The sequence below is a fragment of the Homo sapiens genome, chromosome 4 (genome assembly GCF_000001405.40).
Source record: "Homo sapiens chromosome 4, GRCh38.p14 Primary Assembly".
Taxonomy (NCBI): domain Eukaryota; kingdom Metazoa; phylum Chordata; class Mammalia; order Primates; family Hominidae; genus Homo; species Homo sapiens.
Genome location: NC_000004.12, coordinates 82,488,112 through 82,501,464, shown reverse-complemented (window position 1 = coordinate 82,501,464; position 13,353 = coordinate 82,488,112). Strand labels below are relative to the sequence as shown.

The window sequence follows — 13,353 nt, the reverse complement described above, 5'->3', positions numbered from 1 at the left end:
GAAAGCCTGGGCTGCTACACTACCACTAAGGAGAAAGTTAAATATACCCTGATGCTGGGGTTGCCGAGTCTTTAAAAAAGCTCTCCTCTTTATGCCCCTGGCAGTCAGGACTTCCACATCCTAGATATTCACAAGTATCAAGAAGGATGGCACCTGCAGTATCTGGTGCACCTGTGGGCACCAGGGCCAGTCCTGGGCAGTCAGGTTTGGTTGTCACTGCTTTCAGCCTCAGAGCTGCCAGGAGCTTTATACGTGCTCCTTTTTTCTACTCTTGACACCATTCTTCTGAAAAGACCTAATAAACTTATTCATCCCAAGACATAAATAGCTGCTAAGGAACATTTGCATTTGCATTTGCATTTGCATTTAACAGAGCACAAAGCCCCAAGAGTGAACCTTGAATGGTAGGGTCAGGGACCTTTCCTGGCCCCTCTGCCATTATAGCACGTAGGCCTGCAGGCTGCCATCTATTCGTATGCTCTTCCCACAGGGGGCAACAACGATTAATAGCCATCATTTCTATTCCAGGAACAATGCTAAGTGCTTTGCAAATACTACCTCATTTAAGCGTGATACTCAAGCCTGAAATATAAAAAAGCTGTCACCAGCTGTCTGTCCTCCACTGGGCTTTAAACAAACCAGTGAGCACATTGGAAGCCACATATTGTTTCCTTTGTATGCTTAAGACAAATTGATATTTCCCAGTGGTCTTTAAGTGTATACTTTTTTAAAACCCAGTTTGTATAGCTCACAAGTTTATCCAGTTATAAGGCTTATGATTGACTAATTACAAAAGCATTTCCAAAAGCAAAGCAATGAAAGCAAGATCCCCTCTTCCAGATGATATTTGTCATCATCTTATTCTCCAGTCCTTCCTGCTCCACCAAGAAGCAATTAAGCTTTTGCTAGCTCTTGCTCGAAGGTATTACAACATCCAGTGTTTATTCTGTATTATCTTTCATCATTTTGAGTGCCATCTGGTAGACATAAAATTGATTAAGATTATTGTTCAATGGGAGCAAACCAACAAGTATTTATTTATCAACTCTGAGAGTGAAAAAGAATCAGTTTACTAATGATTCCTCCTCTAAACTGTGGATACCTTCATCTCCCCAGGCCTGCCCTTGTTAGACTTCAGACTATTATTTTAGTCTACATAACTGACTTTAAGAAATAACCCACACCGCCTATTAGTCACTGCTTTTCAGCAGCCTTATAGATTATACTTTACAATCTAAAAATGAGTCAGTGTAGCATGTATTAAAATTAGCAAAGATATTTTATCTTTTTTGACAGACTAATCAAAGATTGAATGCTCAATTATTTTCTTTAGAGAATTAGTTGTGCTTTTTGTCTTGAAACTGCATTTCTTTCCACGGGGTAGGAGAGAAAAAGACCTAAGACAAATTTCTTCAAAGGAATATAATTTTCTGCCCTGGGGAGGTTGTGAGGATAAAGCTAATAGCTGAATGATGTCAGTCACCGAATAGCAGCCACTCTCCCTCCTTCAGGCAAAACATATTGACAGTTGTGTTCTACCGCAGTCATAAATAGGAATCATTGATGCATAAAGAGTCAAACAAAACAAAACAAAAATTTGGCCAGGTACCAGTTTAGAACTGCAAGGAAGGGACGTTATTTGAGTTTCGAACTTTAAAAACCCAGTCAGACTCAGAATTTAAAATGTAATTAGAAAAATCAGCCATTATTCTATTTGTGCTTTTTTTTTTTTTTTTTTTTTTTTTGGAGACGGAGTCTCTGTCACCCAGGCTGGAGTGCAATGGCACAATCTTGGCCCACCACAACTTCCGCTTCCCAGGTTCAAGCGATTCTCCTGCCTCAGCCTCCCGAGCAGCTGGGATTACAGGCATGTGCCACCACGCCTGGCTAATTTTTTGTATTTCTAGTAGAGATGGGGTTTCTCCATGTTGGTCAGGCTGGTCACGAACTCTTGACCTCAGGTGATCCACCAGCCTCGGCCTCCCAAAGTGCTGGGATTATAGGCATGAGCCACCGCGCCCGGCCTCTATTTGTGCTCTTTTGAAAATAGACAGGAAAATTAAGTAGGGGACACCTGTATGGCAAAGGACTGTTTCAAATACCAAAACCACAGAAGGATGAGTTTTTAAAATCTTTTCTGAAACTGTTAGTGAAATCTAAAAATTTTAATGAAACAAAAAAATATATCTATTGATCAGAACGTGAATGTGGTAAAAGTTAGCATATATAAAGATGGCTTTGAAATGGCCCGTAAGTCTTTTTCAGGAAGGTATAATTAAATCACTACTTGGTTGAAAATGGACTTCATAACAGTCCAAATCTGCCTCCATTCATACCTAAGTGTTAGTAAAACTGTTATAGGGGCAGAATCTTTTATTAGATCCATCATTCTAAAAATTCAGCTAGAATCTATTTTAAAAGGAAAGTATGCCTCCCCTGATCTGATTAATAATGGAGTTAAGAGGTAAAAAAGGGCAAAGTGTGGTGTTTAGAATGCAATTCTGGAAGCTAGGAGTGTTGGGTTAAATCCCTGTCTTCAAATAGGTTTCTGTTTCCTGCTGAATTTCATAATTTGTTCATGATAAGATGACTTACCATTCATATTACAAATAGGACAGCTAGCAACGCAGGGACCAGAAGATGTTGCATGTCCTGTGTTTACTGGACAGAAATAGATAATGAAGAGAGCAGCCAACAACTCTGTTCCCCTGGGCATAAAGGAACAAACTCTTTGACTGGGTGGGTCAACATGAAGAGCCATTTCAGGAACTGGGTTTAGGGCTTAGGTCAAGTTCCAGCACCATCCTATCCCACAAAATGACCAGCAGAGAGTTCTCAGAGTAATACTTTTCAGTGGTCATTTAAAAAAAAATTAGCCAGCCAGGCGCGGTGGCTCACTGTAGTCCCAGCACTTTGGGAGGCCAAGGCAGGCAGATCACAAGGTCAGTAGATAGAGACCATCCTGGCCAACATGGCGAAACTCCATCTGTACTAAAAATACAAAAACATTAGCTTGGCTTGGTGGCGTGCACCTGTAGTCCCAGCTGCTCAGGAGGCTGAGGCAGGAGAATCGCTTAAACCCAGGAGGCGGAGGTCGCAGTGAGCCAAGTTTGCGCCACTGCACTCCAGCCTGGCAACAGAGAGGGACTCTGTCTATATTATAGGCTCATGCCTATAATCCCAGCACTTTGGGAGGCTGAGGTGGGCAGATCACCTGAGGTCAGGAGTTCAAGACCAGCCTGACCAATATGGTGAAACCCTGTCTCTACTAAAAATACAAAAATTAGCTGGGTGTGGTGGCATGGGCCTGTAGTCCCAGCTACTTGGGAGGCTGAGGCAGGAGAACCGCTTGAACCCAGGAGGTGGAGGTTTCAGGGAGCTGAGATTATGTCACTGCACTCCAGCCTGAGCAACAGAGTAAGACTCTGTTTAAAAAAAAAAAAAAATTAAGTGTGCTGTCTTAGTATCTTGTTATTATGTCCTAACAGCCATACACAACTTATTAGAAGGATATCCTGTAGTGCCTGTGTTGAGTCTCTAGGCTTAATCTAATGGCTTCTTTAGCTGATGATCACTTCGTGATGGAGTGCTGTGTGTTGAATTACTCCTCTCCCCTACTTCCTCCTCCTACTCCTATCCTAAAATTAATAAGACGTTGTGCCTATTTTTCATCCTCTAGGATTGTTATTGTCATTGTTAAAGACTTCGGATATAACTCCTACCTAGGTCCCTCAAACCAATAGTTTGAGAAACTACTGTCAACTCAGGTATAATGTATTAATTTTCTGATCAATAGTCGGTACTAGCTGAAGCATATACTGAAAGATATATCAGGGCTGAACAATTTGAGATTTTTATAAATCATGATTTATCTCTATTTTGTTTCTAAAATCCAAATATTAATCAAGTTTTATACCACTCTTTGATCAGAAGTACTTAGAACTAAAAGTCAACTTATCAAGCTTAAAGCCATAGGGTTACACTATGAAATTTAACATACTCGAGAAATGCAAATTTATGGATAGATTTTCTTTATTAATGTCTACTAATAATGGCCTGTAATCAAAGTAAAACCTTTAGCAAATAATTACCAACTTAATTGCTGTACAAATAGGGTAATTCTTGAATTTCTAATTGTCTTTCCTGCTGAACCTTAACGTCAAAATAAATTATCTTAGTAGTAAGTTTGTTTCCTTACATGTAGATATAATTTACATTAATCGAAAGTGATTTTTCATCATTTATAGACTAACCTCTCCCAACTCTTCGTATAAATATGAAAATACCTCTGCACTAGGCAAAAAAAAGGTCATCCTTAGATTAGGGCCTTGAGTATGGACTATCCCAAGGTTACTATTAGAAGTCAGATTTGAAATCTAAGTAACTTCCCTCATTCTCTCTTCAAATTCTCAGATACCAATTTGCTTCAAAAGATAGAGTGGACATTTAAAATGAGTAATTAATATTATTTTCAGGAATTGAGTTTTCTTGATATACTAGGTACGATTTTTAGTACATACCAAATCCCTCAATCTGCTATGTTAAAATACAGATTTCATAAGTATGAATATTGTCACTTCTCTAATTTGGATTAACTATCTTTGTTGTTTGACAGTGAACACCTCCAAGTAGAATCGAAGGGAAGTGAGAGTAAAACCAGTAATAAAGGAACTTGTACATTTTCCATTATCTTTCTTCCCAGGAATGGTTTATGGCGCTGGCACCAGCAATTTTGTCTAGATGTGGTAACCTTGTCTTCTTCCCATTATGTTCCTGCCCTATCATTATTTTCCACACTGTTCTAAGCTAAAGGATGCCTGAGTCGGTCTGTCTTTATCCCATCTTATTTGTTGTGTGCCAAGCCTCTGCAGTGCTCTCCTAAGCCAGTCTGTCCTGTGCTGACCTTGTTTTTGAAAACTCTGAGAACAACACTATTCATAGTCCTATCATCCTTGCCTCACCCAAGTAACATACAGCCCTGTTGCCTCGAGTCCTCTCTGCCTCTCTGCTTTCCCCAGATTGAGTATAATAAAACATCTAAATAATCATAAGCATTGCATGGAAAGTTTCTTTGAAAAATTGTGGATCATTCCAGAGATGTAAAATGTGCTGTGGTGAAAAGTTTAATTTTGCACATTGCGGCTTTAGAATTCTGCCTCTTACCTAAGAAAATAGTGCAGCATAAAAAAATAATAATAATAGAATTCTGCCTCACAGTCTAGGTGTGTGATTTAATTTCTTCCATTTTAAGACTTTGCTTTATTCCTAGCCCTTGTGGTAGCTGTTCTGCGCTTCATACAACTGAAACCGAAGGTTTTAAACCCGTGGCTGAATATTAGTGGATTGGTGGCTCTGTGTCTGGCTTCCTTCGGAATGACCTTACTTGGTAATTTTCAGGTACTTGATTTGGCCTTTTTCACCTCCCTCTGACACTGGTAAGACCTTCACTTCTGAGACTATCAAAGCTATTGAGGTATAATCACCATATGGCCCATATAATTCTGCACAAACCTTTTTTTAAAAACTAGGACTCTTTTCCATGGCAACTCGGAGCTGTTCAGCTGCTTCAAGATGAAGCTGAACAGCTCCTTCCTAGCCATTGGCTGCCAGAAACTCATTAAAGTGGAAGATGAACGCAAACTTCGTACTTTTTATGAGAAGCATATGGCCACAGAAATTGCTGCTTATGCTCTGGGTGAAGAATGGAAGGGTTATGTGGTCCGAATCAGTGGTGGGAACAACAAACAAGGTTTCTTGTTTGTTGGTGGGAACAACAAGCAGGGTATCTTGACCCATGGCCATGCCCGCCTGCCTGTTACATTCCTGTTATATATAGACCAAGGAAAGCTGGAGAAAGAAAGAGAAAATTAGTTCGTGGTTGCACTGTGGATGCCAATCTGAGCATTCTCAACTTTGTTATTGTGAAAAAAAAGAGAGAAGGCTATACCTGGACTGACTGATACTAGGGTGCCTCGTCACCTGGGGCCTAAAAGAGCTAGCAGAATCCGCAAACTTTTCTTTTTTGAGACGGAGTCTCGCTCTGTCGCCCAGGTTTTAGCGCAGTGGCGAGATCTCAGCTTACTGCAACCTCCGCCTCCCGGGTTCAAGTAATTCTCCCGCCTCAGCCTCCTGAGTAGCTGGGACCACGGGGAATGCCACCACACCCAGCTAAATTTTTGTATTTTTAGTAGAGACGGAGTTTCACCTTGTTAGCCAGGATGGTCTTGATCTCCTGACCTCGCGATCTGCCCGCCTCGGCCTCCCAAGTTGCTGGGATTACAGGCCTGAGCCACCGCGCCTGGTCAAACTTTTCAGTGTCTCTAAAGAAGATGATGTCTGCCAGTATGTTGTAAGAAAGCCCTTAAACAAAGAAGGTAAGAAACCTAGGACCAAAGCACCCAAGATTCAGCATCTTGTTACTCCACGTGTCCTGCAGCACAAACAGCAGCCTATTGCTCTGAAGAAGCAGTGTACTAAGAAAAACAGGGAAGAGGCTGCAGAATATGCTAAACTTTCGGCCAAGAGAATGAAGGAGGCTAAAGAGAAGCGCAAGGAACAAGTTGTGAAGAGACGCAGACTTTCCTCTCTGCGAGCTTCTGCTTCTAAGTCTGAATCTAGTCAGGAAAAAGATTTTTTGAGTAACAAATAAGATCAGACTCACAAAAAAAAAAAAAAAAAAAATTAGGAACATTGGTTCCTAACATGCACAGGTTCTCCAGAGTTCAGCCTTTCTAGTCTCTCAGCCTGGTCTTCCTGAGTTCTCTTAAATGTGCGAGGGTGTTACATATGCCTATGAAATACAGTGTGGCTACTGAGAAAAGCAGCTACTAGAACAGCTGTATATTTTCTACAGAGGATTTCCAAGTGGTTTATACTTTTTTTTCGTAACAAATTGGATCCTAATGTACCTTTCTAGCAAACCAGTAGGATCATTACCTTTCTATAACTAAACACCAAACATCCTTACTGGATAAAAGGATGCTTTTCAGATTAGCAAGTTTATGTGGAAGTCAAGTTTGAAAGCCCAGAATTTCTCCAGAACACTTATGACTTGTATAAAGATATGCTACTCCTAACTCTTCTTCCTAGAAATTCAGAAGCCCAAGGTCACAACCTTTAAGCATAATTTTCCTTGCCAATACCATTACCCAGCTCTTGACAAGAATGACTTTATTTGTAAAATAGACAAGGAAACCTCTGTACTATGACAGTGGTTGACTGATTTCCCTCCCTCCCCACCAACCTCCAACCTATGCTATTTATATTACAGCTAGAAACTTCCTCCTTGAGGGCAAACACTGATCCTGACACTCTTCCCCCTGTCTGTTGAATGACATCGCAAATGGCATAGGCATTCAAGACCTCAGCATTCTATCGTTCATTTAGTAATGTTCCTAATGAAAATAGTAGTGGATTTTCTAAGGCCATTTCTTGTCCTACCCTCAGCACTGCTGATTCATTAAACCAGGATCACTCATTCCCAAAGACTTCCCCTGGCACATAGTAGCAACCCAGTAAATATTTTTTGCTTGGTGAGTTATAAATGGGCAATCCCACCAATTCCTCTAACTATTCTATCTCCCATCTATATCCAGCTAGGCAACCAGAAAGCTGCATTCTTAGAATATATTGGCTGAGGCAGTGATTACCAGGAGAATATTTGAGAGTTTATCCTGTTAAGATCCAAAATGTAAGGCATGGGGCATTTTAACTGAAATTTTGTTGGGAGTCTTTCCCTTACTTGCTGGCCTGTGCTGAGGGTACAGGCATGTTGTAAAGTGCTCAGTCACTATTGTTTCTCTCGACCAGGGCTTTGATGAGTTACTAAGAAGAACACATTTTGTTCTTTACAAAAGTCCTAGAAAAATCCCCAAGATTGGGTGGCTTTGGTGAACCACACATACTCAAGACCATGAATGTTGACACTACTTATGAAGAACGTTTGCCGGAATATAACAGAATACATGAGAAATGACAAATTAGTTTCCCATGGAGAAACCAGGTGGCTAGTATATGGGACGGCAGACAGACTTTTCAATCTATCCCTCATTATAATTTTTTTAAGTTTAACTATGTAACTATATTATCTTTTTTAAAGATTAATAATAAATTAATAGATTTATATAGCATGGAAAACCAATTTTCTAGAAGCAAAATTTGATTTCAGATATCATTATTTTAAATAATTTTGAAAATATGTCTTTTGAACTGTGAGAGAAAACATGGCTTCTTCCAAAAAAGAGGCAAAAATCCTACAGCCAAAAACAATAGAAAAAATTGTAAAAGGAAAGTAACATTGATTTGATGCAACCCTTATGAACAACAATGTCAAACAACAAAACATCTGAAGGCAATAGCAATTCAAAAAAATAATACTTTCACAATGGGTTTAAAAGCCATGTCTTTAACAATAGATTTTACTTTCTTATATGTGCAATTAAAAAATATATGTTGAAGAAAAGGAAAAGGAAGAAAATTTTTTAAAAATATGTAAATACATAGTGAACTTTTATCATACCACCGTACTCTAGCCTGGGCAACAAAGCAAGACCCCATCTCAAATACATATATATATATATATATATATATATATATATATACACAAACATATACGCTAGGTTTGATGAAGATGTGGATATGGATAGACTTTGTTGTTTTTTTTTTTTTTTTTTGGAGAAGTGGATAGTCTTGGTGAAGTATGATTGACTGAAAAAATTATGATCTAATGGTGATAATCTGAAAAATATATATATTTACATATGTATAGATGTATATATACACATGAAAATACAAAAAGAGTTTTAAGTGATGGATATATATTTTAAACATCAGTTGGTAATGATTTGGGGAGTTTACATCTATAACCGCCAATGGCAATAACCTAAATGGGAGTCCTCTATAAAAGCCTTGAGTATGAATCTTCAAGTACTGTTGTCCTACTATGGGTCTCTATATGTGGCAAAAGCTCATAGGTGACAGTTTTTCTTATTACTATGGGAAAATAAAACTAAAAAAATTCTCATTAACAATGAATTAGGGCCGGGTGTGTTGGCTCATGCCTGTAATCCCAGCACTTTGGGAGGCTGAGGCGGGTGGATCATCTGAGGTTGGGAGTTTGAGATCAGCCTGGTCAACATGGTGAAACCCCGTTTCTACTAAAATACAAAAATTAGCTGGGCATGGGGGCATATGCCTGTAATCCCAGCTACTTGGGAGGCTGAGACATGAGAATCGCTTGAACTCAGGAGTCTGAGGTTGCAGTGAGTGGAGATCGCACTACTGCACTCCAGCCTGGGTGACAGAGTGAGACTCTGTCTCAAACAAACAAACAACAACAACAACAACAAAAAACAATTATTTAGGCCAGGCACCATGGTGGCTCACGCCTGTAATCCCAGCACTTTGGGAGGCTGAGGCAGAAGAATCGCTTGAACCCAGGAAACAGAGATTGCAGTGAACTGAGTGCCACTGCACTCCAGCCTGGGCGACAGAGCACTCCGTCTCAAAAAAAAAAACCAAAAAAAAAAACAAGAATTAGTCACATTACATAGACGGGCCAGTTTTGCAAGCGTGAAGAACAGAGCTTAAAGGGTTTTAGTTGTCTGTGCCAATTAAATATTGACTTGCCTAGAATTGGCTGTCCTCCATCAGTAAATATATATTGGCCAGGATTGATGGCTCACGCCTGTAATCTCAGCACTTTGGGAGGCCGAGGCGGGAGGATTACTTGAGCTCAGAAGTTCATGACCAGTCTGGGCAACATAGGGAGACACCATCTCTATAAAAATAAAAAAAATAAAAAATTAGCGCTCTCCTCCTGCTGCCAAAGGTGCTGAAAGGAAAGAAGGCCAAAGTAAAGAAGGTGGCTCCGGCCCCTGCTGTCATGAAGAAGCAGGAGGCCAAGAAAGTGGTGAATCCCTGGTTTGAGAAAAGGCCTAAGAATTTTGGCATTGGACAGGACATCCAGCCCAAAAGTGACCTCACTCGCTTTGTGAAATTGCCCCGCTATATCAGGTTGCAGTGGCAGACAGCCATCCTCTATAAGCGGCTGCAATTAACCTCTGTAAGTGCTTTCTGCAATTAACCAGTTCACCCAGGCCCTGGATGCCAAGCAGCTACTCAGCTGCTTAAGCTAGCCCACAGGTACAGACCAGAGACAAAGCAAGAGAAGAAGCAGAAGCTGTTGGCCCAGGCTGAGAAGAAAGCTGCCTGCAAAGAGGACGTCCCCACTAAGAGACCACCTGCCCTTCGAGTAGGAGTTAACACTGTCACCACCTTGGTGGAAAACAAAAAGGCTCAGCTGGTGGTGATTGCACACGATGTGGATCCCATCGAGCTAGCTGTCTTCCTGCCTGCCCTGTGTCGTAAAATGGGGGTCTCTTGCTGCATTATCAAGAGGAAGGCAAGACTGGGACGTCTAGTCCACAGGAAGACCTGCACCACTGTTGTCTTCACACAGGTTAACTTGGAAGACAAAGGAGCTTTGGCTAAGCGGGTGGAAGCTATCAGGACCAATTACAAAAACAGATCCGATGAGATCCGCCATCACTGGGGAGGCAATGTCCTGGGTCCCAAGTCTGTGGCTCACATTGCTAAGCTCAAAAAGGCAAAGGCTAAAGAACTTGCCACCAAGCTGGGTTAAATATACACTGTTGAGTTTTCTGTACTTAAAAAACAATTAAAGTAATACAAATTTTCCTTCAAAACAAACAAATTAGCCAGGCATGGTGGCATGTACCTGTGGTCCCAGCTACTCCAGAGGCTGAGGTGGGAGGATCGCTTTGAGCCAGGGAGCCGTGATCACGCCACTGTATTTTAGCCTGGGAGACAGAGTAAAGACCCTGTCTCAAAACAAACAAACAAACCAAAACAAAAACAAACAAACAAAAAAAACCATGTCCAAATTCCTGGTCTAATTTTCTTATCCTGGAAAAGTTTGGGGTGTATGCTTGTAGAAACATTTCTTTTTCTGTAACTCTCCTTCTGTTTTCTTTTACTTTTTCTACACAAATGTTTTTAAGGGTTGGGGGTATTATTTATTTCCTTCATCCCCTCAGAGTTCAAACCATTTGAGAATAGAACGAAGAGCTAATCTTTCTGCAATCTATCATCCCATTATTGGGATATTTCTTTTCCTATCTTTTCCCCTCATATATTCATTCCTTCAACTTGCCTGTCTTCTTTGCTGAATGGGCCTTCATGTGTCATTATCCATTCATCCCTAAGCTCACAAATGATGAAGAAATCCATAACGTCGGAACTTCCTTGACCTTTGGATTTGGCACATTGACCTGCTGGATCCAGGCTGCGCTGACACTCAAGGTCAACATCAAGAATGAAGGACGGAGAGTTGGAATTCCACGGGTTATTCTGTCGGCATCTATCACTCTCTGTGTGGTCCTCTGTATCCTTTGAACGTGAAAAGCTTCTTTTGCCAGTAAGATGAAAACAAGTAAGTTGTCTCTGTAGAAGAACCCAGTGGGTTAGGATATTCTGCCAGATCTTCTCAGAATCTTAAGGCAAAGGTAAACAGGTATAAAAACAAAAACCCTCAGACCAATTTTTCATGCCAAAGGGGAGATGGAGAAATAAAAATAAAACAAGGTCTGCCCTCTCCAGATTGTTTCAATCTGCAGGAATGGTGTCATACATTCTCATTTCACTAATGATGTAAAAGTTCTTATTTGTGAAAATCAGAGAATGCACAGCCAAAAGAGAATTGCCATTTTTTTCCTCCAGCTTAAAAAAATGCATTTGTGACTTTATTAATGGCCCTGTTATTTCATTTCATTTATTAGCTCTGAAATGAATTTCAGAGGACCAATACATTTATATATTTCAGGAAAATAATGAAGCTTTTCTGGAAGACAAATTCAAGCACTAGATTAAGGCTGCATGTGTAGTTTTCCTCCAATATTTGAGGTTTTGGGGTGCTATTCATTTCCCTTCCTCCGCTCAGAGTTTGAACCAATTGAGAATAGATGCTAGGAGCCAGGTGGGGATGAAGAAATCAGCCTTTATCCTAGTAAACCTGGAAAGGAAAATGCTGCAGGTCTCCTCTCTCACACCTTGGAATTCAACTTAACCACCCAGTAACAAGCAGAGAAACCAGGGAAAGGCAGAGGAGAGCACCTCACTCCGCTTAGCCCCACACAGATCCCAGAGAGAGTCTAGCTTAGGATGGAGTGCAGTGGCCTCACCTACTGGTAGTGTGGCCCAATAGAAGCCTGCCAGTTCCCATCCCACCAATCAGATCAGTCACTCATTCCATGGAGTGGAGTAATCAGAAGTGTTCAACACTTGGGGAGGCAGAGGCAGGAAGATCACTTGAAGTCAGGAGCTCAAGATCCACCTGGACAACAAAGGGAGACCCTGTCTCTACAAAAAAAAAAAAAAAAAAAATCTAAAAATCCGCTGGGTGTTGTGGCGAGCACCTGTAATCCCAGCTACTGGGGAGGCTGAGGTGGGCTGGCTTGAGCCCAGGAGTTTAAGGCTGCAGCGAGCTAAGATCGACTCTGTCTCTAACAATAAATAAATAAATAATAAAGGCCTGGTGCCGTGGCTCATGCTGTAATCCTAGCACTTTGGGAGGCTGAGGCAGGAGGATTGCTTAAGCCCAGGAGTTCAAGACCAGCCTGGGCAAGATAGCAAAACCTGGTCTCTATAAAAATTTGTTTTAGAAAAATTAGCAGGGTGTGGTGGTGTGCACCTGTAGTCCAAGCTACTTGGGAGGCTTGCGGGGAGGATCACTTGATCCCAGGAATTTGAGGCTGCAGTGAGTTGTGATCATGCCACTGCAATCCAGCCTGGGTGACAGAGTGAGACCCTGACTCAAAAAATAAAATAAAATAAAAGGCAAAAATAAAAGAAGTGTTCACTCCAGTAAGGCCCTCCTCAGAAAACCAGAGAAAGGAATCAAGGTTCCTAAAGGGTAGATTGTACAGAAAATGCAATTACACATCTTCAGTCATAATAATCACCAATTTTTAGACAGCGTGCTAGGCATTATTCTAAGTACTTTAAATGTATCAACTCTTTTTATCCTCACTTCACATGTAAGAACAGTGAATCATGGAGAAGTTTAATTTGCGCAAGATCACACAGATAATGCGTGGTGGATCGAGATTTAAACTCAGGCTCAGCTCTTCACTCTTAACCACTTCAGACCCCACCTTAGAGAAAGTAGCTTTAGAATGAAACAATGGCATTCGCAGCAACCTGGTTGGAATTGGAGACCATTATTCTAAGTGAAGTAACTCAGGAATGAAAAACCAAACATCCTGTGTTCTCACTCATAAGTGGGAGCTAAGCTGTGAGGACACAAAGGCATAAGAATGACACAGTGGACTTTGG

The 13,353-nt window shown here is 40.9% G+C and overlaps 1 protein-coding gene and 2 pseudogenes across 3 annotated transcripts in view; all 3 read left to right on the top strand.

Annotated features, from left to right (window-relative positions):
* The window catches only part of TMEM150C (transmembrane protein 150C), a 79,078-nt gene that overhangs the window by 60,789 nt on the left and 4,936 nt on the right, over window positions 1-13,353 (top strand). For 2 of the 3 annotated variants that reach the window (NM_001353454.2, NM_001080506.3), the window contains exons 6-7: window positions 5,270-5,397; window positions 11,227-11,404. In NM_001353454.2, the coding sequence (NP_001340383.1) occupies window positions 5,270-5,397; window positions 11,227-11,404 (306 nt within the window). The remainder of the gene's footprint in view (window positions 1-5,269; window positions 5,398-11,226; window positions 11,405-13,353) is intronic. The other variant, NM_001353455.2, reaches the window with a different exon arrangement.
* RPS6P6 (ribosomal protein S6 pseudogene) lies at window positions 5,531-6,659 on the top strand (annotated as a pseudogene).
* RPL7AP26 (ribosomal protein L7a pseudogene 26) lies at window positions 9,810-10,703 on the top strand (annotated as a pseudogene).